Below are 26,683 nucleotides of genomic sequence, written 5' to 3' on the forward strand. Positions count from 1 at the left end.
CAATGTTTCATTTCACAAGTAGAAGAGGAACTGATTTTGTCAAATACTTGCCAATCCCAAGGGCTACTCGATTCGAGCAAGTTTCTAAGAAGACAGTAATAAGTATGTCACTAAATCGATACAGGAAAAGAGGACAGGCTGGTCAGTTGACCTGTGTATTGATTTCATCTCTTGGGTATTGCGCTTCTAGGAAATCTAGGAAAGACTATGGGGTCTTTTGCGACGAGCTTTTTTCACTTAGCATCATGTTTTCAAGGTTTACGAATCTTGTAGCATGGATCAGAACTTCATTCCCATTTATGGTTGAATCATCTTCATGGTATGGATGCACTAGAGTTTGTTTATCCATTCATCTGCTGATGGACATTTGGGTGGTTTCTGCCTTTTAGCTATTATGAAGAATGCGGCTATGAACATTCGTGGGCAGGTTTTTGTGTGGGCATATTTTCATTTCTCTCGGGTGTATATCCAGGAGTGGAATTGCTGAGTCAAATGGTGACTCTATGTTTAACAACAGATTGGTTTTGAAAATTAAAAAATCATATGTATGGCTTTGCATGTTTGATATCTAATTAGCGTAAACTTAAGTTCTGGGCGGGCAGGGCCCTAAACCTGCCCTTTCCCTTACCCTTTGGCTTTTTTTTGTCAGTTTTGAATAGTCATTGCTCACTGGACCTGCACGCTTGTGTTATTTGGAAGAGGGGGCAGAGGCAGAAACACAGGAGAGTTCCGGCACACAGAGGGAGGAAGAAGAGAAGGGTGTAATGGTCAAATTAGAGGGAGAGAGAGAGGAGGACAGGGGAGAAGGGACAGGCCTGAGTGTGTGAGGGAGGTGGGGTGATGGGAAAGGAAGGAGTGCCAGGTATAGGTCACAGCTTGGGTCAACACTGCCGAGGCCATGAGGAACACACAGGTGACACTGACCCAGCTGGGTAAGCAGGCCTGGCCTGGGAGGGCCCTGATTCTCATCTTAAGCAACACTGGTACCTATTCCACGTGGCCCGCTCTGGGCAGCCAACAGGTTAAGGAGGCCACTCCTCTGGAGTCAGGGGTCCCCTGTCTACTAAGGTCAACTGCAGAGCCAAAGACTCTAGAACTACCTTCTGGGGAGGCTTCCCTTATCCTCTTTGGGCTCTGGCTGTTGGGGTGCTTCTCTGCAGCCCATGTCTGCCTCCCAGCGTACTGAATGAGAGAGGCGACCTGTGTCTGCCTGTGGACAAGCATGTGCGGACGCTGGCTCTCCCTGGAGGAGAAGGCAGGGAATCTGGCCAGGAAGAGGGTTGTCCTAGGAGGGCTTGGGGAGGAGAGATGGATGGCCGCTGAATTTTAAATAAAATGGGGAGCATGGTATTGAAGACAGGTAGAGATTGCTGGCAAGAAGAAAAATGTGTGTTCTGTGTAAGAACCGTTGATCAGAGGGCACTGGGTGGGTGACAACTGGAACTCCCCATTAAAGTGGGAAGCCCTGTTCTTTTTTGTGGATCCTATATGTTTATTGAACCAAATATATATATACACATATATGTATTTGTAAGTATATGTATATATATATTTTTATTGGTGCACCTATCAACTGTGCCGCGTACACTGAACCCCGTTTTTAGTCTTATATCCCTCACTCCCTTTTCACCCCTTTCCCCTGAGTCCCCGAAGTGCATCGTGTCATTCATAAGCCTTTGCATCCTCATAGCTTAGCTCACATGAAAGCGGGAAGTCTTGTTCTTAATGGTTTAGATTTTAGAACAGTATTACAATTACTGGGGAAGCTTAACAAAAACATCAACGTTCAGGCCTTATCCTCCCAAACCTCTTATTTGGTTGGCCTGGGTTGCTGTCTCACCACTATCAGCGTTTTTTGAAAGCTCTGCTGATTTTCACAAACAGCCAGGATTCTTAGGCTGGTTTACAGCGTTGATTCCCAGTGTGGGCCCTGGACCAGCGGCATCCGCAGCACCAGGGAACCTGTCAGACATGCGTATTCTTGGGCCCCACCCACTCCTACTGAATCAGAAACTCTGAGGTTGGGACCCAGCAATCTGTTTCAATGCATCTTCCAGGTGATTCTGATGCATGTGGAAGTTTGCAAACCACTGTCGTCATCACAACTCAGCTTCTTACTAATTATGTGAGACTTGGCAAGTATTTAATCTCTTTGAGCCTCAGTTTTCTTGACAATGAGATGGGATAGTAATACTCAATTCATAGTGTTCTTTTAAGGATTCGATGGTATGTGTGTAACGCACAGTACCTCACATAGGACAATGCTTTGTGAATGGCAGTTGTTAATGTTATCAGTTTTCTTATTGTTTGTACACTTGTTCTTATGGAAAGTGTAAAACTTGCTTGGCATGCTTTATCTTGGATCCCATAGACATGAATTGTGCCTGGTTCTGGTCCTAGCTGCTACATCAGTGGGAAAAATGGTGTGAGGGACTTGAAACCTTAGTTTCAAAGGTCTGTGTTAGGTTTAGGAGAATTCCATAAGGGATAGGAGAGAACACTGAGTCTTTTTCTGATTCTCTGGAATGTTAGATCTCTGCTAGCTGGGCTCGAATATCCTACCTGGGATCAGGGAAATCTTTCCAAACAAGGAGGTGCAGTGGGACCTGCATCTTAGAGGAAGCCCTGAAAGGGAGTGCAGAGATGGCAAATGGGTCTACTCCGAGGCACATGGCCTGAGGCAGGTACAGGAGGAGCCACCGGCTCCCACCAGAAGCCAGGGTGTGCCATGGTAGGGGGGCAGCTGTCGTGGGTGATAGGCACCCAGCAGGTGGCAGTGATTGTAGCACCCATCACCAATGCTGCTCCAGAATTCTCTCCTAGTCCAGGTGGCAGCCTGACCCTCTGCTGGCCAGGCTCCAGGCTGTTACCATGCCTTGGAGGAGGCATTTGAATTCGTTTGTCCTTAAGGTTAAGTGAGCAGGACCTGAGTGTGGGCTCCCCACGGTGGGCATCCTCCTCACCTCTGGGATGGTCATGTCTTTGATGTGAGCCCCGGGGGACTTGTCTGTGGCTGCATCTTCCTAGCAAGTGATTACTTGGCTTGTGTGTTATGCAGGGATTGGGAGGAGGAGGATTGAATTGAGCCCTGGGCCATGAGACTAAAGGCCCTCACCCCAACCCAGGCCACCACCTGTCACAACCGCTACCTCTCTGGTGCATTTACAAATCATCCTTGCAGGGTGGAAATCCCAACCAAGATGCGAGTGGAACGATGGGCCTTCAACTTCAGCGAATTGATCCGAGACCCCAAAGGTCGACAGAGCTTCCAGTACTTCCTCAAGAAAGAATTCAGTGGTGGGTCTTTGTTTACAAAAAAAAATTAAAATAACTTACTTTTAGAAAGAGTCCTTTAATGTCTAGCCTAGGGTTTGGGGAATTTCTCAGCAGATGTTTTCAGAGCTTTGCTTATGCCCTTAAACAGTTGCTTCCTTTCACAGCTTTAAGAATGGGACCTGAGCCCAAGACTCGTTCTTTCCATAGACTCAAAGAGGCCCCACCGTCTGGGGGAAAATTGCACCTGCTCACAGAATCTACATCAGGATCCCTCACATTTCTGAGGGCTCCATCCATCCTGGATGCCCCCACTGTCACCCGAGGAGCCCCCGCTCCTTCTAGTCAGCCTCTAAATATAATGAACCTGGAGGAAGGGAAGGGAGACAGGCAGGCTTTCCCTTTCTTTCTCTTTTTGTCTCCCAGCCTGATTTTCTTTTTTCTTTGTTTCTTTCTTTTTTTTTTTTCTGGAGACAGAGTCTTGCTGTGTCGCCCAGCCTGGAGTGCAGTGGGATGATCTCAGCTCACTGCAACCTCCGCCTCCCTAGTTCAAGCGATTCCCCTGCCTCAGCCTCCCAAGTAGCTGGCGTTACAGGTGCCTGTCACCACACCTGGCTATTGTTTTGTATTTTGAGTAGAGATGGGGTTTCACCATATTGGCCACGCTGGTCTGAAACTCCTGACCTCAGGTGATCTGCCCTCCCCAGCCTCCCAAAGTGCTAGGATTACAGGCGTGAGCCACTGCGCCTGGCTTCCTGATTCTCTTTAGCTCAGTGGTTCTACACATTCAGTCTGCCTGGGGATATTTTAAAACATGTTTTCCTGGATCTCATCCCTAAAGTTGCTTTTAAATTGGTGGGGGTTGGAATCCTTGAAGTTTTGGAAACTCCCCAGATGATTCCAATGTGTGGTGATTGACAGCCATCACCTTAGCTCCTGGCCTGATTTCTTCAGGGCCTTAGGAGGGTGTGGATTTTAGTGAAATGGGCAGGGCCACATTTTGTCCCATCTCTGAATGTCACCTCATGAGGGGAACTGTGACTTTTTTTTTTTTTTGATATGGAGTCTCGCTCTGTTGCCCAGGCTGAAGTGCAGTGGCATGATCTCAGCTCACTGCAACCATTGCCTCCGAGGTTCAAGTGATTCTCCTGCCTCAGCCTCCCAAGTAGCTGGGACTATAGGCACGTGCCACCACACCTGGCTAATTTTTGTATTTTTAGTAGAGACAGGGTTTCGCCATGTTGGCCAGGCTGGTCTCGAACTCTTAACCTCTAGTGATCCACCTGCCTCGGCCTCCCAAAGTGTTGGGATTACAGGCGTGAGCCACTGCACCAGGACTGTGGCTTTTTAAATATACTGCACTTCCCGGAGAAGCATCCACAAAAAAACACGAGGCCAGATCAGAACCAGGCTGTGCATTCACCACCTTCATTGAAATATTTACCTTTACGGGATTCTTTTACTTCCTTGCTCAGTACCCAGCCCTGGGGGCATCACTCCTGAGCCTTGACACTCAGCTGCTTACTACCCAAGATCCACTTGTCTGTGGCACTGCTCCAGAAACGAATCCTACTGGACATGCCTTTAGCCTGGCTGACTGCCGGATGCAAAACATTACATGATAATATGGATTGTTGATAATCATCTCCCTAATCAAGTCTAATTGCTGCTCTAGAACAAAACCCAGAAAAGATGGATGGACTGGCGAATAAGTGGTTATAGTGCCATCTAGTGGCAAAGTGACAACATACACCCTGAATTTATTATCTCCCCCCCACTAATTCCTTAGTGAGAATCCAGCGAAAAGATTTCCCTGCATTATTTAAACCGTATTATTAGCAATCTCCTCATGAGATTCCTGAGGCTTTAGGTATGAACAGGGCAGATAAATCATCAATTTGCTCATTTACTTTTTAAAAAGATTTTTAAATTGAAATATTATTTGCATATGATGAAATTAACTTTTTAAAAGTGTACAATTCAGGGGTTTTAGTGTATTCACTAAATTGTGCAACCATCATCACTAATTCTAGAACATTTTTGCCACATTAAAAAGAAACTCTTTACCCATTAGAATCATCTTCTATTCCTGCTTCTCCTGCACCCCAGCCCTAGGCAACCACAAATCTACTTTCTACCCCTACGGATTCACCTCTTCAAGACATTTCATGTAAACGAAATCATGCAATATGTGACCTTTTGTCTTTTTTCACTTAGCATAATGTTTTCAAGGCTTGTCTGTGTTTCAGCATATAACAGCGCTTCTGTTCCTTTTTTTTTTTTTTTTTTTTTTTTTGACAAATTCTCACTCTGTCGCCCAGGCTGGAGCGCAGTGGCGTGATCTCATCTCACTGCAACTTCTGCCTCCCGGGTTCAAGTGATTCTCCTGCCTCAGCCTCCCAAGTAGCTGGGATTACAGGCGCCCGCCACCATGCCCAGCTAATTTTTGTATTTTTAGTAGAGACGGGGTTTCATCATGTTGGCCAGGCTGGTCTCAAACTCCTGACCTCAGGTGATCCACCCGCCTCGGCCTCCCAAAGTGCTGGGATTACAGGCGTGAGCCACTGCGCCTGGCCACGTGGTTCCTTTTTAATGACTGCATAATATTTCCTTCATTCCTTTTTAATGACCCCATAATATTTCCTTGTTTGTATGTACCACATTTTGCTTATCCATTTGTAAGTTAATGAACATTTGGGTTGCTTTGACTTTTTAGCTGTTATGAATAATGCTGCTATGAACTTTGGTGTACATATTTTTGTGTGCTCATTTAATATTTTTGGTGGGAAAACGTATGTAACATAAATTTTACCATTTTAACCATTTGCTTTTGAGACGGAGTCTTGCTCTGTCGCCCAGGCTGGAGTGCAATGGTACCATCTCGGCTCACTGCAACCACTGCCTCCCTGGTTCAAGCAATTCTCCTGCCTCAGCCTCCTGAGTAGCTGGGATTAGAGGCGCCCGCCACCACGGCCGGCTAATTTTTGTATTTTTAGTAGAGACAGGGTTTCACCATGTTTGTCAGGCTGGTCTCGAACTCCTGACCTTGTGATCCGCCCCCCTCAGCCTCCCAAAGTGCTGGGATTACAGGCGTGAGCCACCCATGCCCAGCCGAAATCTTCTTCCTTTTTAAGGCCAAATGATATTCCCTTGTAGTCTTCACCATATTTTGTTCATCCATTCTTTTATCGATGGACATCTGAGTGCTTTCCACTTACTGGCTATCACGAATAATTGCTTATTTAATTTTACTAAGCAATCAACTGTCTTTTGCTATGGGCAAGATGGTTTACATGGCACTTTTGTCAGATCAGTTACATTTTAGTTGAGAGCATCACTGGTCTGTGATCTCAGTCCAAAGAACGCCCTAAAGTTCATGCTGAAAAGGAAGGACCTCTATAGAGCTATGGGACAAATGCCAACTAGTTTAAAATTGTGCAGCCTTTTCTAATATGAAGCACCCAGGAGCTTTTAAAAAAATGCAGTTGACCCTTGACCAACACTGGTTTGAACTGCACGAGACCACTTATAGGTGGATTTTTTTTTCAGTAAATATATTTAAAAACTTGGGGGGATTTGCAACAATCTGAAAAAACTTGCAGATGAACTGCATAGCCTAGAAATAGAAAAAAGTTATGAAAAGGTATCATGAATCCATAAAATATATATGTAGATACATATCCACTTATGTGTCCATTGACTGTTTATGTTATTAGTAAGGCCTCTGGTAAACAGTAGGCTATTTGTAGTTAAGTTTTTGGATTTTCTACTGCATAATGGTCTGCGCCCTAACCCCTTAATTGTTCAAGGTCAACTGTACTGAGAAAAGAGAGGAGAGGATTTTGTTGTTCATTTCCCCACACTGTGACACACTCCACGATTTACACACACACACACACACAGACACACACACACTTGCTCTCTCTTGTGATCGTCTTTATTTTCCCAGGCAAAAATCACCACCTGGGACCACTGTATGAACATATGCGTGGTACCTCTGGACGCTGCAGGTTAGAGAACCTCGAGTTGGAGGGAGATGAAGGATTTGGGGGAACCTGGCTTTTCCTTCTGGGCCAATCCCCTCTGGCTCAGGTGATGCTCAGTTCAGTCCTGCTCCTGGCCAGACCTTCCCTGAGGGTCAGTCCATCAGCACTGCTTCTTGAACAGCCTCTCTGTAAGAACCGTTGGCCTGGAATATGTCTGGTGAGGGACTGCAAATGATGGGTTCTCTAAGCACAGCCAAACAAAGGAGGAAGAACTCACGCTCAGTCATTCAACGGGAGCAAAGGAAGGAGGTCTTGATGTAGAAAACCGTAGCGTAGCAACGCATGTATAGAAGCCTATTCATGTGCGAGCTCGTTCAAGCAATATTTCCTACAGCCAAATTCTAGAATAAAAAAGAGTACGACAACCTCTGGGGGGTGATATGAACTCTGGCCTGTGTATTGTTGGAGGAAAGGAAGCTGCCACGGTGTGAATGCATTGCTGCAAACATGGTAGGTGCCAATCTAGTTTATTTCTAAGGCCACGTATTGAGCAATTACTAAGTTCCCAATGTTCTTCCAGGCCGTAGAAGTGAAGATGTGGCTCCTTTCCCCAAGGAGTATTGTTGTCTAGCATCACAATGTGCAATAGCTTGTTCTGCGGCAGGAAAGGTGTTCACTGAGCTGGGAAATGGAATCCATCCCGGTTGACTCATTTCTTTTATTTCCTCTTTTCTTCTTCCAACTTATTTCCTGCCCGGCCCTCATCCACGTGGACTTCTCACCATGCAGGAGAGAATCTGGGATTCTGGGAAGCCTGCGAGGATCTGAAGTATGGAGATCAGTCCAAAGTCAAGGAGAAAGCAGAGGAGATTTACAAGTGAGCATCAGCCAGGGTGCTGGAAAGCCTTCCCTTGGGCCTCTGAGGACCACCCCATTGTGCTTGAGGTGAAGATAGGATGAGAGGACAACAGCCTGGTAGCTGGCTGGGCCCTGGTCAGCATCAGTTCACTGTACTTGCCATGCTAGAAATAGTTCCCCGCTGCTTTGGGAGGTTTGGGGGTTCCCTGAAGAAAGCCTGGTGAGACATGCAGTGTGAGTCACCTGTTCCTATGGGAATGTGTCTAGGGGTTAAAAAAGCAAGCTGTCCCGAATTACAGTGCAGAGTGCTCTGTCTTTGACTAAAGCCTTCTTAGGTGTCCTGAGGGGTGTGTGTGTGTGTGTGTGTGTGTGTGTGTGTGTGTGAGAGAGAGAGAGAGAGAGAGAGTGAGAGAGAGAGAGAAGAAGCAGCAAGATGGGAAACCTATTCCTCACGCTTCCTTAGAGATGTGAGGAACACAGGGGAAGGGAGCTCCTCCCACATGTCTGGGACAGTGAGCGCAGCTTGGGGTACAAACATGGGTGGGCACATCTCATTCCTGACATCACGGCTCCAGCCCCCACTTGTTCTGAGCAGCAATAAGTCTGTCCCTCTCCATGACTGTCTCTCCTCCAAATTACACAAAAGCCAAGAGTTCCAGGTTAAAAGGGTCAGTCCTGTTTTCAATGGCCAGGTGGAGAGGGAGGGGAAGGTGTGATGAGGCTCCCAAGGTTGCTGAAAGCCACACTCCCCCTCCCCAACACTCCTCCCCCTACAGGCCTGGTGGGTGCTCCTGTCCTGCTGTGGTCCCATCTCTGTGGGTCCTTTCATCTGCACTGGCTGCAGTGGACATGAGTCCTGGATACTGAGGGCCCAGCATTGTTAGTTCATACTCACATGCTTAGCCGTGTTGCCCAAAGCCCAAGCACCACGCTGGGCTGGAACCAGCCCTTTGCAGTCACCAGACTGTGGTGCTGAACTTTGGGCAGCAGGCCAAACAGCCCCTTCCCTCTGAGGACTTAGCCTCTGGACCCTGGATGTCCTTCCTGCAAATGAACTCAGATTGCAACACCCCGGTTTCCAGAGAAGCACCAGCAGCATTGAAGAGAAAAGCTTGAGGTCTCACTTCTTCTTATACTTAGAGGTTCATACACTCTATTGCAAATTTGCCCAGCTCCTCCCACAGGGAGGGGATCCATGCGCTGAGAGAAATGGGGGTGCGGGTGGGGTGCAGTGGGGAGGGCTGTCGGTCCGGGAAGCTTCCATGACATCCTTTGCAGTACAATGGGTGCCTGATTGCCTTACACACAGTGACGCACACACAACTCCTGATTCCAAAAATCTGCTACAGGAAGCCCGCTGCCTCTGCCATTAGACCAGTTTCCTTCCCCAGGCTCCCTGGTTATGTTATGTAAATCTCAGTTTCAATTCCAAAATTTTAATGTACATCTTAGAAAGGTAGGAAAATATTCATATGAGTATTTCTAATTCAGCAACAGCTCAGAACTGGAAATACTGAGAGAGCTCTGCATCCCGACATCCCAGGTAGAGCCACGGGCTCAGGAAGTGTGGCCAAGTTTGGTCTAATTGGGAGCCTTGGCCTGTCTGCCCAGCGGGTCAGACCTCTGGGTTCTGGGACTATGGGCTGCCTCTCGACACAGCATGTGAAATTCATTACAAAGCACATGTGGGTTGGGAGGAGAGCAGAGACCCCCAGAACACCTGTGTGAAGGTGTCTTAGCCTGGTCCCAGGTTGCCCCTGGAATCCTGGTGCAGAAGGTGTGAAGTTGGAGGCTGAGTTCTTCACCCTCATGGCCAGGACCTAATCCGACCTGGGCCCCAGCCCCTTCTTGCTCTCTCTCCTGGAGGTTGGAAACATCAAAGTTAAATATTCATATTCCCAATACTGGAAGTTTCTTGCTTCAAGGAAAAATTGCTTGACAACCTCTTCAAAAGTTCATGCTCTTTAGTGTCTCCTAAAAAAACCACCACCCTCACCCTCGGTAACCGATTCGTATCAGTCCTTCCCTCCCAAGCAGCTGTGAGCTATCCATGAATTGACTTGGTTTAGTTACTTTTGCTAACATCTCCCTCCCACCCCAGGCTGTTCCTGGCCCCGGGGGCGAGGCGCTGGATCAACATAGATGGCAAAACCATGGACATCACAGTGAAGGGGCTGAAGCACCCCCACCGCTATGTGCTGGACGCCGCACAAACCCACATTTACATGCTCATGAAGAAGGTAGGTGGGTCCGTGCTGTGGATACGGGGTCCAGATAGGCTTTCTGTCACTAAGTACCCGGAAAATTCTTTAGATATAGGAAAAAGAGAGAGGATACGTGGATAGAGCTTTGCCGGTTGTGGCATGCAGCTAAGCATGGGGGCTCATGTCTGTAATCCCAGCTCTTTGGGAAGCTGAGATGGGAGGATATCTTGAGCCCAGAAGTTTGAGACCAGCCTGGGCAACACAGTGAGACCCTGTCTTTATATAAAAAAGAAAGAGAGAGAAAGAGAAAAACCCCAGAATTGTCAACCGTCTCTTCCACCTGTCCACTGGGGTGGACTTGCCTTGAGCCCCTCACCCACGGGCCTAGAGGAACTCCTGTAGAAGCTGTGTGCATCCTTACGGGCCCCACTCTGCAGCAGTAGACAGGTAGGAGTAATGGCATTAGTAATGACAACATTATAATAACAGCCATCATTCGTTGAGGGCTTACAAGGTGCAGTCGCTGTGCGAAACACAGAACTTTATGCTCAAAGACAGCCCACAAGTTAGGCTTTGCTGCTCCAGAATCTAGTGGCTTGGTCAAGGTCTCACCAGAGATGGGGCTGGGATTCATAGCCAGGTCTGCCTGGGTTTCAAGGCCGAGCTCTTAGTTTCTGCTGCAGAGTGATGGCAATTCTCACCACCCTGGCCCCAGGCAAATATTACACATAGAGGCGTAGTGTCTAGGAGAGACAAATTTGTGTGTGTGTGATTGTAGTAAGACCCTGTGAGAATTTAGATAGCCCTCTGGATTATTAACAAAGTGCGAATGCGGTGGGAATTTAAAAAAAAATATGTGAAGGGTACCTGAGAGAAAAATCAATCATTTTCTTAAGAAACTAGAATCGGAGGCTCAGAGTTAGCCTTAAAGAACTTGTCTAGTTTGATTCTTCTTTGGTGCCATCCTTGACAAGACTTTCTTTGGGTGCTTCAACTTCTCATTATGGCAATGATTTCTTTAAGGGCAAAGTATCTTTATAGGATATAGGTTATGTGATATAGGCTATTTGATATAGGTTATGTGATATAGGTTATATGAGATAGATTATGTGATATAGGTTATGGATATTGGTTATGTGATACAGGTTATGTGATATAGACCATCTGATATAGGTTATATGAGATAGATTATATGACATAGGTTGCGTGATATAGCTTATATGAGATAGACTATGTCATACAGGTTATATGATATAGGTTATGTGATATAGGCTATTTGATATAGGTTATATGATATAGGTTATATGAGATTATATGACATAGGTTACATGATGTAGGTTATATGATATAGGTTATAATGTGATATAGGCTATCTGATATAGGTTATGTGATATAGGCTATATGAGATAGATTATATGATATGAGTTATATGTTATAGATTGTAATGTGTTATAGGCTATCTGATGTAGGTCATGTGATATAGGTTATATGATATACATTATATGATATAGGTTATGTGATATAGATTATGTAATATAGGTTATATGATATAGATTATATGATATAGGTTATGTGATATTGGTTATGTGATATAGATTATGTGGTATCAGTTATGTGATATAGGTTATATAATATAGGTTGTGTGATATAGGCTATCTGATATAGGTTATGTGATATAGGTTATATGATATAGATTATATGATGTAGGTTACATGATGTGGGTTATATGAGATAGGTTATATGATGTGGTTTATATGATATAGGCTATGTGATATAGGCTGTGTGATATAGGTTATGTGATATAGGTTATATGATATAGGTTATGTATATAGGTTTGTGTGAATGGTAAATGCTGATTAGCTTTCCTGATTTATATTTCTTCTATTTAGTCTTTTATTGTATCATTTAAAAGTATTTTTACTTTGTTTTTAAAGCATGTAATAATTTAGAATTGCCGCCAAGCCAGATTAGCCATTTTCATCATTTTTTGAATCAGTGGGGTGTTTCTGTGTGTTTTGAATCAGTGGCTGTCTCTTTGTTTTTGTTACTAGACGATTCACAGCAGGGTTTCTTTAATAATAATCCTCTTTAATGTATTTTAAAACGTTTTGGTTCTTAAAAATGTAGTTTTCGGCTGGGCGCAGTGGCTCACGCCTGTAATCCCAGTACTTTGGAAGGCTGAGGTGGGCAGATCACGAGGTCGGGAGTTTGAGACCAGCCTGGCCAACATGGTGAAACCCCGTCTCTACCAAAAATACAAAAATTAGCTGGGCGTGGTGGTGGATGCCTGTAATCTTGCTACCCAGGAGGCTGAGGCAGGAGAATCACTTGAACCTGGGAGGTGGAGGTTGCAGTGAGTTGAGATCGTGCCACTGCAATCCGGCCTGGGCGAAAGAGTGAAACTCCGTCTCAAAAAACAAACAAACAAACAAACAAAAAAACCTGTAGTTTTCATACGGCTTTTTAGGGGATGCCCAGGGAGGCCAGTTACTAGCCAGAATGGAACAGTCATTGGTAACTGCAGAAAAGAATGGCATATATGCCCACTGGACTCCCTATATGCCATTACAGCTATGTCCTATGGTGAAACACTCAACGTATCCCAGTGGCTCCATGGTCCCTATTCCTAGACTCTATCCTAGTTCTCATAACTTTTACTGCTCCCACTTAGTCTTTAGAATAGTGCCATTTCAATAAATTTTTAAAATACCTCAATCCCTGGTTTGTTGCAGTGGCCTTTGTCCCATATTGGGTATGACTAGAGTTTTCCGCTCGCTTAAAAGTAACGAGCATTCATGAAGCTTCTCTGAAATTGCCCAGAGTCCCAGTAAACAGCCCCATAACTGGACTCTACGCGTTGGTTGTTTTTGTTTTTGCTTTGGTATTCTCTTGCCTTTACACCCAAAACACAGGGCAGAAAGGGATGTCAATGGCTTAGAAGTGGGCTCCATACTCCTGGCTGCTCATCTTCCTTGGAAGAAAGTCTTGGAGAGGAGAGGTCAGATGTGCTCTTGTCTCATGCTGGCTTCACTGAACCACTCCAAGGTGGATCTTCATGTGTAGGGTTACAGACTGTAATTCTCAAACTTAAAGGTGCAGCAGAATTACCTGGAGACTGTTCAGGTAGTTGTTAATTGTTAATTGTTTAGGTGTCCTCATGTGAACAAATGATGACAGGCAATGTCTCCATACATGACCAGCTGTCTCACCTGTTTGGCATGTAGCATGCAGCATATGAGAATAAGTGAAACAAATTAAGCAGTTCTGGGTCTAGTGTACTTTTAACTGTAGCAGCTTTTATGCAACTGGCTACATTTACAACATAGGCTGAATCACAGACAATGTTGATAGGATCTGAAGCTGTGAGCTGTAAAACCTGAGACTGTTCAGGCTCAGGGTGAATCACTCCCAGAGTTTCTCATCAGGACGGCTGGGGCAGGCCTGAGAAGTTCCCAGGTGAAATTGATGCTTCTGGAGGGGACCACACTTGAGAACCACTGCTCTCAACACCTCCCCCAACACCTTTCACCCAAGGAGACAAATTCTCATAACTTTTCCATTCTACTGCCAAGGGAGGCTTGAAAATGGCAAGGGTATTGGTTTGATTTGACTGCTTTTTTCTCTCATAATTACTGTTGTTTTCTTGTTCCCACTAGGATTCTTATGCTCGCTATTTAAAATCTCCGATCTATAAGGACATGCTGGCCAAAGCTATTGAACCTCAGGAAACCACCAAGAAAAGGCAAGTGGAATTATCTGTAATTGCTGGCTGCCTGCTGCTTAGTTTACAGAGAAGTGAGGGTCTCTTTCAGCCAAATGGCTATTATGGAGATATTTGCTTGATGAAAATATTGGGGACTGGGAAGTATTGCTCAGGGAATGAGTGCCTCATTTGCTTCATAATGCCCTGAAATCACTCTAGCAAGATTTCCTTAGTAATTACCACCACTAAGTTTTGTTTCCCCTAAAGCTGGCTTGAAAGAGTTTAGAGGATCAGACCAATAATTACCCTTATCACAAATGGAAGCTTCTCCTTGGTTTTTTAACTGCTACTCGTTACCTCCAAACTGATGTATGGGAATTAATTAAGGTACATCCTTGTATTTAAATTGTTCTAAGACCTTAGAGAGAATAGCAGATTGCACCCCAAGAGAAAATGCTCAGTGAAGGGGAAACGGACAGTAACGGGCTAGGTATTCTTGCTGCCTCCGGGGACCATGTTTTAGAAGTCCATGAACTTGTTCATTCTCACTTTTCTCATTGGAGATGTGGATCATCTCATCTGGTAGAGCCATTGGGACAATGGACGAAATAATGTCCTGAGGGGCAGATTGAACTCTTTTCCGGGGGAATTCAATCTACAAGGATTGAAGATTTAAAATATAAATTGAATGGCAGCTTGAACAAAACTGTAAGGCTTTGGCAGAGGTTTTTCCACTGGCAATCGTGTGTCCTGTCCCCCCCAAAGTGAGTGACTGTTCCCCTGTTTGCTGGGTCAACCCACACTGGGCTCCTTTCCAGCATCTTCCATCAATTCAAAAGGGGGATGGCCGGACCAGAGCCTTTATCAAAGGAGAAAAAACAACAACAACAACAAAAAAAACCAACTTGGCTTCATTCTTGAGGATAATGGCCCTGTTATGAAAAGGAGAGAAAGAAGGTCTTTGTGGTGCTATTCTTCTGGGTTTACCAAGTAAGGAAGGGAGTTCAGTGCCCCTGGGGACTTAAAAGCTTCTACTTTAAGCCAGAAGAAAGGCCTGTAATAGCTCCAGTAGTTCTGCCAGAAAGTAATGAGGGGACAAAAGAGGAGTCTCATACCTCTCTCTCCAGATATTTTAGAAGTTGGGGCAGACGTGAGAATTCTCACTATTGTGAGTGAGAATTACACGTGAATGCATTCGTAAAGTGTGAAGCCTGGTCTGTGTCCATACCAGGACTACAGTGGGTGTGAATTTTGTTCCATGATCCCAGGTATAAGACAATGTATTCAAACTCAATTTTTGCATGACAAGTTACCCCTAGCTCCAAGCCTTCCTCTTGGCAGGGCTGGTGAGAAATCCAATGTCAGTGTCAGGCTTTACATCCTGGTAGGGGAGCCCTTCTTCTCCTTAAGATAGATATAAGAGTTCAAGGGGCTTATGTAGTCAAGGGGCTTATGTAGTCCAGAAATATGGAGTATGTTGCAGGTCTTTGTCTCTTATTGCTGCTGAAGTTCTTGGCTCCAAGCTTACGTGGGCCCTCAAAGGCAGGTGGGCTCCACTGCTCACTGCCCACTACATCACTTGGATACCTAGAGCTTTGTCCTGGCTCCTAAGGCCATGGCAGGGAGAGTTTGGTTCCAGGAATCCAGTTTGGCTTTGAAGAAGGTTCTGGCATGTGTCAAGATATTGCACATGAGCAGGGTACCACCAGCCCACCAGCCCTCTTCAGGCCTCTTCCCTCTTTCTCTGTTCACTGGGGCCTAGCTATTTTGGACAGTCCAGCTCTTTCCTTCCTTCCCAGAACCATAGCTTTTGAAAACAAATGCTCCAGCCAGGCGCAGTGACTCACGCCTGTAATCCCAGCACTTTGGGAGGCTGAGGCGGATGGATCAGTTGAGGTCAGGAGTTTGAGACCAGCCTGGCCAACGTGGTGAAAGCCTGCCTCTACTAAAAATATAAAAATTAGCCTGGTGTGGTAGTACATGCCTGTAGTCCCAGCTACTTGGGAGTCTGAAGCATGAGAATGGCTTGAACCTGGGAGATGGAGGTTGCAGTGAGCCGAAGTCGTGCCACTGCATTCCAGCCTCGGTGATTCAGAGAGACTCTGTCCCCGCTGCCCACCCCCCAACCGCCCCAAAAAAGAAAAGAAAATAAACAAATGCTCCAACTCTCTCCAGTACCCAAGCCTTCATTATCCACTTCTTTCATGAAGATGTTACAAAAAGTTAAGATAACAAATTGATTTCTACATACTGTAGAAGTTCAATGCAACTTCGCCAACAAAAGGGTCTTCCTTGTGCCTGACCTAAAATCTGATGGCAGTTGGTACTCACTCTGGTCTCATCCTCCAAGTGGGGAGAAAGGAGCCAAGGTTGGACCCCACTGGAGGTTCACTGGAAAAAGGAGGGAACAAAATATAGATTCTGGACCTTCCAGCCCCAGCTCCCATCAAGTGTGACAGGGTCAGTGTTGGGCAAGCTGTGTCATTTTCCTCCAACCACCAATCTGTCCTTCCTTCCAGCTCCACCCTCCCTTTTATGCGGCGTCACCTGCGCTCCAGCCCAAGCCCTGTCATCCTGAGACAGCTGGAAGAGGAAGCCAAGGCCCGAGAAGCAGCCAACACTGTGGACATCACCCAGGTCATGAGCAAGCTGGACCGCAGGAGCCAACTCCAAAAAGAGCTGCCTCCTAAATAAATCTGTGATTCCTGGGGGTGGGGTCATGCACTTGGGAGAGGCAAATGAAGAAGGGTAGGGTCAGAGTCTAGAAGGTTCCATTCCCCATTTGTGGAGGTCATCAGGTTCATCCCATACTCCTCTAACTTTCTTCATGGGGGACTTCCTAATACCACAGCAACCAGAGCTTGTTCTCCCAAGCCCACTCATCAGGGGACAGGGTGGGCGAAGGCGGTGGGTGGGAGAGGGGATCACCTGACTCAATTGCTGTGTGGCTGCCTATTGTACCTTAGAGAGTTCTTAGGGGAACTATGAACTTTTTCAGTAAGAGCCAGGGGGAAAAAGCTGTCTCAGTGAGAGCCATAGGGAAAAGTGGTACACAAAGCTCTCACTGAGAGAGAGCTTTGTCTACCACTCTCTGCTTTGGAAAATTAAAAAGAAGGCCTCTCCCCATACCCAAGGCCTAGTGTTTTTCAGGGAGATTTGTTTAAAATAGCTTTATGAAGCTCCTCATCCTATCTCTCTAATTTAGACTATTGTTTCCAAATCATTCTGAGGATCCGCCGAGGGGCTAGTTGCAGGGAAGTACTTTCTCTGAACTCCCCTGCTATGCCTGCCTGGAAAGACCCTGCTGAGACGTTTCTCCTGTTGAGTTTGTTCTTAGTCATAATTACTGGAGGGTTGATGGGCTCTCTTCTTCCCATCTCCCCATCCCCTTGTCCATGCTGGGGAAATAAGCGGCTTGCGGGAATGAAGGACTCAAATGGCCCTCTGAGGAGCATCTTTTTGGCTAAAGAACAAAGGCATTGATGTCTTCATTCATGGGAAGAGGATGGTAGACATCGAGATGAGTGAGGATCAGAGATGATACTCTCTAGGACATTTTCTAGATGTTGATTCTTCCCTCTTCTGTAGGTGTAGACGAGGTCAGCCCTGTGGTCAGGACTGGGGGAGAGGACAGTTCTAACTGACCTTGGGGGGTTTAGAAGGTCATTCTCGAAGTTAGGCTCACTCCTTACACTTGTGCAAGAATGCAACAGAGATAGAGCACAGAAGTGAGCAAGAGACCAGCCTGACCAAGCAGGAATACTCACTCATTCAGCACGTCTATTGAGCACCTACTATGTGCAAACATCGGTGAATAAAACAGACGTGGTTCTCTCTCATGGAGCTTCTTCTAGTCTAGGACTGAGACAAAATAATTAAACAAACTATCAGGTAGCTATTGCTGTGTGACAATCAACCAGAAAAATAGAGCAACATTCAGCAAGTGTTCATTGTTCATGCATGTGGGGTCATCTGTGTGGCTCTGTGGATCTTGGCTGGGTCCACTCATCTGTCTAGGAGTGTTGCAGTGGCCTAGGCTGAGATGAGTGAGATGAGTTTTCTCTGCTTCATGTACCTCTCTTCTCCCAGCAGTCTTGCCTAGGCAGAATCCCATGCTGAAGACTGAATTGCAAGGGAGCAAGTAGAAACACACAAGGCTTCACATAGTCTCTTCTACTTTATTTTATTGGCCAAAGAAAGTCATAAAGCCAGCCTAGATTCAAGGGGCAAGGAAATAGACTCTACCTCTTTAGTGAGAGAAATTTCAAAGTCTCATGGCGAAAGATGGATGAAATTTCAAAGTCTCGTTGCAAAAGACAGGGAAAGTTGAAGAATGAGGGCCATTGTTGTAATTAACAACACAAATGCCTGCCCAAGGATTATAAAGGAAATTAATGTGGTACTGGGATAGGAAAGATGGGATGTGTGTAGGCTATGCCCCTGCTAGCTGGTGACAGAGAAGCAGGGAATGAGAAAGAGTTGGCCATAAGAGCATGTGGACCAGGCAGGGAGAACGTTCTGGGGAGAGAGGGCTGTGTGGGCAAAGGCTCAGAGCTGGGAAGTAGCTCAGAGTGAACCGAAAGGCCAGGTGAGTGAAGCCTGCTGGGTGAGGGGGAAACTGTGCAAGATGAGTTTAGAGAGTGGGCAGGGGCCAGATCATTGATGACCTTCAAGGCTGTTCTAAGGAGTCTGTGGTCACTGGTTTCATGTTAGCAAAATGATTCTAGCCCAGAAGAGGGACACTTACACTTTCCATTTGCACTGGTTGCAGACCAGTTTCCACTCTGAAAGTGCATGGAGGGATATGCTTTGCTCATCTCTCTTCTGGAGAATCTTGGAGTCTTCCCACTCTGGAAGGTACCCCAAGTAGAAATGTAAACCATTGTAAACTGGGTGACACGAGAGGAGGGACTGTATTTATCTCATTCATTACTTGGAGCCTGATTCCTGACACCCAGGGGGTTCTGCACCAACATGAATGACATGAGTGGATGAATGAATGAAAGAATGAATGAATGAATGAAAAGAGCCCTGGATTTGGAGAAAGCCTCCTGGTTCCTGTTCCTGGCTCTAGCACTAGTCATGTAGCCTTGGACAAGTCACTTAACCTCTCTACATCCTTATTTGTGAAATGAGGTATCAGGACCAGCTCTAAACTTCTCTAAACAGACTTTGTGAATTCCGACTGGGAACCCGGGCTGGGGCATCCATTTTACTTGAAGATTTGGAATGGGAGGAAAATTAGGTAATTTCTAAAAGTTTCACATTAAAATAATCATGAAAATATTATGAAATAGAATGTAAAATGTACATGAATTTTTAAAGATACAATTTGAGACATCAAAGGCATTTTGTGCTTGGCTGTGGCAGGCTCAGGCCCTGCCCTCCAACTTCTGGGGGAACGTGTTTTCGGGCTCTCCTGCTGTGTGGCCTACTTTTATGGGAACATTTGAGAAGCATGAAACCAGAGAATATTTGCTGTCCCTTTTGGTTACTCCATATGAGCTGAGATGACATACCCAGCAGCCTGGTGGTGAGGGTGGTGGTGAGCATGTTGTTGAGGGTGGTGGTGAGTGTGGTGGTGAGGGTGGTGGTGAGTGTGGTGGTGAGGGTGGTGGTGTGGGCATCGCATGCATTGTGGCTTCTACAGGGCACAGATTGTGTCTTGTTCATCTTTGGCTCAGGTATCTCTTGTCTCACTCGCCACAGGTTTGTGCTCCAGTTATCTCTCATTCTCCCACAGGCTACTATGTGCTCTGTGTCAGGCTCATACGGGGACTCCTTGTGTATTGATGGAAGCCTGCTCAAGTTGAGACACACAGGATCTCACAATCTAATGAGAGACACAGCACGTAAACAAAGCAGATGAGCATTCTTTATTAAATGAATGAGGACATGAGCGTCTCAACACTATCTGTCTAGAGGAAGGAATATAAATGGCTTCATGGCTAAATGGCAGCATTTATGCTTCATAGATGTATTTTATTTATGTATTTATTTATTTTTTGTTTGAGACAGGGTCTTGCTCTGTTGCCCAGGCTGGAGTGCAGTGGTGCAATCATGGCTCACTGCAGCCTTGACCTCCCAGGCTCTAGCAATTCGCTCATCTCAGCTTCCCAGGTAGCTGGGACTATAGGTGTGCGCCACCAGGCTTGGCTAATTTTTTGTATTTTTTGTACAGATTGGGTTTCGCCATGTTGACCAGGCTGGTCTTGATTTCCTGGGCTCAAGTGATGCACCAACCTCAGCCTCCCAAAGTGCTGGGATTATAGGCATGAACAATTGCACCTGCCCCATAGATATATTTTAAAGACCTTTTTTGTGTAAGAATCTGTGGTGAGTGCTATGGTGGATACAAAAATGAACAAAATGGTCTCTGCCCTCAAGGGGCTGACAAGGTGCATGGATGCAAACAGCTGTAGCCGGAGGCAGGATGCAGTCGAGACTGGATGATGATCAAGGATGATGATTGTTGATTGAGACCACAAGCTGGAGGAACCCAGAGGTGGGAGAGAATTGTTTGGCTGGGGGATCATGATAAGGTTTTTGGAGGAGGCGTGCTTGAGGTATGTCTCAAAGGAGAGTAGGGTGTCATCAGATAGAGATTGGGAAGTGGGCACTGCAGGGCATGTGGGCAGAGCCCAGGCACGGCTACTGCTGGCCTCTAGGCAGCTTATTGGGTCAGGAAAAGGTGCTCCCTCCAAGTAGGTGTCCTTATAACACCTGGCTGGATTTCAGTCCCACCTTGCCCCTCAGCCAGGTGCCCCTGAGCAGCACACAGCTTGCATAACCATTTGGTGGCCCTGAGCACAGGGTCCAGGAAGCAAAGCTGGGAGGGTGCTAGGTTGAAGATGTATCATGGAAGGCTGGAATGTGGACTCGTTACTGCAGTCTCATAAGCGCCACTCCCCATCCACCCCTGGCTGATTTAGATGCCCCTTCTCTGGCTCTCCTTCCATTCTGCTCATACCTCTGTCTGTGAATGCTGCACTGTATCGAAACATTGTTTATGTGTCTTTTTCTCTCACTGGGCTGTAAAACTCCTTAAAAAGGAGAGTTAGTGTCTTGTGGGGTTTTGTGTCTCAGGGCTAGACACAGCATGGGCTTGCAGTTCGTATGCTGGATGTCTGAAGAGCTTCAGCACACTGGAAATCAGGAGCTGAGGAGTGAAGACGAGTTAAGAAGTGGTTGCTGTGGTCTCTGTCAAGAGGAAGGTGTGGATTAGGAGGGTGGTGGTGGGTTCAGAGGAAAGAAGAGAGATGCTGGAGGCAGGTGGATAGGACCCGATTGAAATGGGGTGATGTGGGGGAAGAAATTAAAGAAGACCCAGAGATTTTGATCCTCCTAAGACAAGGGTGATGTTAAGAAAGGTATTGATTATGAAAGAGGACTGGATTTTGTGTTAGCAGTTGGGGAGGCACCAGGGAGGTTTGGAGTCCCAGACGAAAATGTGTACACCATTCATGTAATCAACATTTACGGAGTTTCTCTTTCTTTCTTTCTTTCTCTATCTTTCTTTCGTTCTTTCGTTCTTTCTTTCTTTCTTTCTTTCTTTCTTTCTTTCTTTCTTTCTTTCTTTTTTTTTGTTTTGAGACAGAGTCTCAGGCTGGAGTGCAGTGGCACCATCCTGGCTCAATACAACCTCAGCCTTCCAAGTTCAAGCCATTCCCCTGCCTCAGCCTCCCAAGTTCAAGCCATTCCCCTGCCTCAGCCTCCCCAGTAGCTGGGATTACAGGCACCCACCACCACGCCTGGCTAATTTTTGTATTTTCAGTAGAGACAGGGTTTCACCATGTTGGCCAGGCTGGTCTCGAACACCTGACCTCAAGTGATCCGCTGGCCTCGGCCTCCCAAAGTGCTGGGATTACAGGTGTGAGCCACTGCGCCTGGCCTTGGAGCTCTTATGTACCAGACACTGGGAGCCTGCAAAGCCCCTCAAGGAGTTCCAGACTAGGAAAGAGACAGACACACTGTACAACTCACTGACACAGAGGGTATCAGGACTCATAGCGGAGCAAGCAGAACAGAAGGAGAATGTCAAGGAGGAAGTGATGGATCCTATCTGGAGGCATCGGGGAAACTGGACCTCAAAGATTGAGTATAATTTTCCAAGTGGAAGGCAGAGAGCTGTGGTTAATAATTATAGTTCCCCCTTCTTCCAGAAGGGATTTGAGGCAGCTCATAATACTATAATACTATATGATGGAATGTCTAAAATGATAGATTGAAAACTAATTTTAGACAGTAGTTTGTACACAGTGAACCGTGGATGACTGGGTTATCAAAACTGAATGTTACATTTTTTTTAAGCATTAAATTTTGCTCTGAAATTCCTGACAACTACCAAGCAAACAGAGAGACAGATTGGTTTTAGAATTTTACTGTGTCTGGTTGGGTGCAGTGGCTCACGCCTGTAATCCCAGCACTTTGGGAGGCGGAGGCGGGCTGGTCATGAGGTCAGGAAATCGAAGCATCCTGGCTAACCCAGTGAAACCCTGTCTCTACTAAAAATACAAAAATTAGCCGGGCGTGGTGGCAGGCGCCTGTAGTCCCAGCTACTCAGGCGGCTGAGACAGGAGAATCGCTTGAACCCGGGAGGCAGAAGTTGCAGCGAGCTGAGATCGCGCCACTGCACTTCAGCCTGGGCAACGATTTTACAGTGTCATGAAGTCAAGCATTCAAGTCCTTTTTTACCTGGATCCTCCCCCTACTCCTAAGTCCCAACACGAGGTTGAAAATGTGCTTCTGGTGAGGGAGATTTCTAATCCATTCCTGTTCTAGGCATAACGGATGCAGAACTGAATAAGATCATCAAGTCTTATTTCATCGAGTTTGCATTTTAGCTGGGGGTGCGGGGACAGGCAGTAGATAATAAATAAGTGCTCTGAAGGAAAGGAAAGTAGGTTCGAGTAACTCTGAATTAAGGAAGGGGAGTAATTTTAGATGGGTTCATTGATCCAGAATTGACTGTTGAAGATGTGACAGTGGATGGAACTTGAGGGCCAGAGAGTGGATGGAGAGAGAAAAGAAGGCTAAGAGGGAAGCTTGGACGAGGCCACATTTTAAAGGTGTAAGAGGAGAGAGAAGAGTTAAGAACGGAGTGGCAGAGCTGTTAGGACGCCTCCCTGAGAAGATGGGTGGGGGATACGGGTGGGTGGCCAGCAGCGTTGAGCAGAGACAGTGCCTACTGGATAGTCCCTGGGCACCCTTCCACTTCCCAGCCACCCTGCAATTAGCTGGGGCCACATGTCTAGTTGTGGCCAATAGACATGGGCTCTGCTGAGGTGGATCAGAGCATGGGGCTCCACCTCCATCTCATCCCCTGCTGTGGACCTGGGAGTCCCTCCTGGCCCACACAGGACTTTATGTGAACAAAAAACCAGACCTTTATTATAAGAAGTCACAGAGAGTTTGGAGTTGCTGTAGCATAGCCCATCCTGCCGTGCCGAATCAAGAAGTTGAGCATGTCAAGGACTGGCAGAGGCCACTGGATTTAGCAGTAAGGAAATCACTGGGGATTTTGAGTGGGTGATTTCAGCAGAATAGTGAAGGAAGAAGTCACTTTTGTGGGAATAAAGGAGAAGATGTTGGAAGTAAGGAGAGTGAGCTGTGTGTGTAGATTACCATTTCAAGTAGTTTGGGAGGAAGGCGAGAGATATAGTGGTAACTTAGATAATGGAGGGTTGAGAGGAGGCATTTCCAAAGGACAGCGTGAGGTGGGGGTGTTTGCCAAATGAGGGGATGATCCTGGGGAGGTGGGGAGATAAAATAAAGAATAATTGATAAGAGAAAGCCTGGAAAAAATTGGAGGGGATCAGACCAAAGCCAAGATTGGTTTTGGAGAGGAATAGTTTACTCTCTGATGTTGCAACTCAGAGAGATTTGGAAGTGGAAGGGAAGGAAGCTGAAGGCTAAGTTAAGGTAAGATCAATTTTAATGATTAGGGAATATTTGAGGCATTTGCTGAGAGCATTGCAGGAGGAGGGCAGTGTGGCTACAGAAGCAAGGCCATGTGACTGCAGGAGAAGTCCCTGAAGTGTTGAACCAAACAAGTGCTTGACAATCACTGTGAGGCAGTGATGATGGATGCTGAACCAAACAGTTGAGTAGAAGGTTGTCAAGCTAGGAGAGGGAAGAAGTGTCTCCTCTCCTTATATGGAAGTTTCTGTATGTTCAAAGGTGGCATAGAGAGAGATGTACATTCCATGATACTCCTTGGTCAGCCAAGCAGCCATTCAGGAAAACTTTGGAATTCCCAGCAACTTTGTCAATGGGAAATGCTGTGGGATGGCCACGGGAAAGAGGGAGGTGTTGTCTTCCAGCAGTCATTGACTACTTTCGATGCAGAACTTTAAGAAACCCGCTTGCTATCAGCTTCCAGTCAGAACAGCACTTGTAAAGGGTTGATCCTTAAACATCGCTAAATGAACACATCTCTGTCTTGTGGTTCCAGGAATTTTAATCCTTGAAGCTAGATGGTATGAGAACAGCTTTTTTTCTGAAGCCAGGCTTGAATGGTAGGGGAAGGAATGTGGACTTTGGGGTTAGGCAGACATAGTTTTGATATTTTAGCTGGGTGGCTTTGACCTTCAACCTGTCTGAAGTTATCATTTCTCTTAGAATGTTATTGATAGTAGAGAGTGTCTGGCTTAGGGTGGATGCTCAGAAATAGCTCTCTCTCTCTTTCCTCCCCCTTTCTTTCTGTCCTCTTCTCTCACTCTCTCTTTCTTGCTCACTCTCTTGCTTCTTGTAATCTGCCAAGGCTGGGATCCAGAGTTCCAGCTTCTGTGAATAGAGGGGTCAGGCTCTGATAACAGTTTTCCTCTATCTGTTATGACCACTCAACATTCAACAGAGATATTCAGCACCTGTTACATGCCCAGCATCCTGCTAAGTGCTTGGGATCACCAGTGAGCAAGAGAGACACCCTTGCGGCATTTGCTGTTCAACAGGAGAGACAATTAAACCAAATGGTGTGATATTATAGGGAAGCCACATAATGTTTTGGGAAGGGTTGGCAAGGACTGCTAGCCTGGTGAAGGCAGTGGAGACTTGGGGAGATCAGCAGAGGCTAAAGCAGAGGGGTGGGCAGGGCCAGGCAGGGCAGTTCGTTGGTGATCAGGACCAGTGGCCAACCGGGACCATCCATCCTGGAAAGCTCTATGCAGCTCCTAGGGACTCAGGGCTGTGTGCATTTGTGTGGCTTCACCATGATCTCAACTCCAGGTATCAGCTCTTTTCCACCTTGCACCTCCCTCTCCCCAACATCAGTGTATGCCAGTGCTCTGCTTTCCAACCCTGGAGTCCACCAGGAAATTCTCATGTTTGGTAGTGAAGGGACTGCAGGTTCTGAGGGCTTGCAAGCATCTGTGGCTGCTGCTATTGTTCCAGCAGGTGGCAGCTTCTCCTGCTAATGTTTAAACTATGTGTCCCACAGGGCCCGTTGAAATCCCAAATAGCATAAAAAATAAACATTTATTTGGACAATATTAACGATATATTTAAATCACTATGAAAATCTCTATTATGCCGTGTCCTTAGACACCTTTGAATTCCTTAATGTTATATTTTAAACAACTTAACAAACCCCTCTATCCATGGGGTGCATAGCTTGTGCTAGGATATAAGTTATTCTGTAAGTACAAGGATTTCCTTTATAGAGTTCCATTTTCCAACTTGACTTTTAGAGAAAAGGCTGCTTTCATTGTGAATATTAAGTAAAAATATAAGGGCCAGGGACAAAATATGAGTAAAGACCTAAGACAATTCTTGGCCTATTATAAGCCCTCAACGAACACTAGCTGCTATCATCATCATCACCACCATCATCATTGTCACCACCTTCATCGCCATCACTATCACCATTATCACCATCACCACCATCACCATCACTATCACCATCATACCATCATCACCATCATCATCATCACTATCATCATCACCATCACCACCATATCATTATTATTATCATCACCGCCATCCTCACCATCACCATCACCATTAATACACAATCATCATCATCATCACTATCATCATCACCATCAACATCACCACCACTACCATCATCACCATCATCACCATATCATTATTATTATCATCACCACCATCCTCACCATCACCATCACCATTAATACACCATCATCACCATCATCACCTAGTAGCTTCAGTCTTAGAGTAAGCTTGTGCTTTCTTCTAGCTGTTGGTGTTGTCCAATATAGTAAATCATTATTCTTTATTTAAGGCATTTCCTGAGAGATATTTAAAACATTGTCATCTCAAACCATCTATCTTCTCTGTTCTTTGAGAATTTTGCAGTGCGGTCCTCCAGCTCTCCAGAGAACGTTAGGATATATTTGAGGGGAGGAGGGGGAGAAGTTGATGTCATGTCCTCTGTCTGCAGCTTCTAGGAGAGGACTGACCAGCAACAGTGTAGTGACTGGTCAATCCTGTAGTCTGGAGTTTCATGGCTGAAGTAAGGGTCGTTGCTAACTGAGAAGGTCTTGTGCTAGACTGTGTCAAATGGGATGACCAGTATGGGGTCATGCCATGTGTTCACCCATGGCAGAGTTTTCCCCATGGGGCTAACTTTGCACATTTGCTTGGGGGCGGTGGGGAAGGGGAGAGTGGGAAGGCACTGGAAGAGGGGACTTTGCACACTG

At 46.0% G+C, this 26,683-nt stretch overlaps 1 protein-coding gene across 3 annotated transcripts in view; it reads left to right on the plus strand.

Annotated features, from left to right (window-relative positions):
• Nucleotides 1-26,683, plus strand: part of RGS9 (regulator of G protein signaling 9) — a 90,334-nt gene that overhangs the window by 56,575 nt on the left and 7,076 nt on the right. For 2 of the 3 annotated variants that reach the window (NM_003835.4, NM_001081955.3), the window contains exons 13-17: nt 3,182-3,297; nt 8,049-8,136; nt 10,219-10,357; nt 13,978-14,063; nt 16,544-16,661. In NM_003835.4, the coding sequence (NP_003826.2) occupies nt 3,182-3,297; nt 8,049-8,136; nt 10,219-10,357; nt 13,978-14,063; nt 16,544-16,661 (547 nt within the window). Of the gene's footprint in view, nt 1-3,181; nt 3,298-8,048; nt 8,137-10,218; nt 10,358-13,977; nt 14,064-16,543; nt 19,319-26,683 lie in introns of those variants that run through there. The other variant, NM_001165933.2, reaches the window with a different exon arrangement.

The sequence above is a fragment of the Homo sapiens genome, chromosome 17 (genome assembly GCF_000001405.40).
Source record: "Homo sapiens chromosome 17, GRCh38.p14 Primary Assembly".
NCBI lineage: Eukaryota > Metazoa > Chordata > Mammalia > Primates > Hominidae > Homo > Homo sapiens.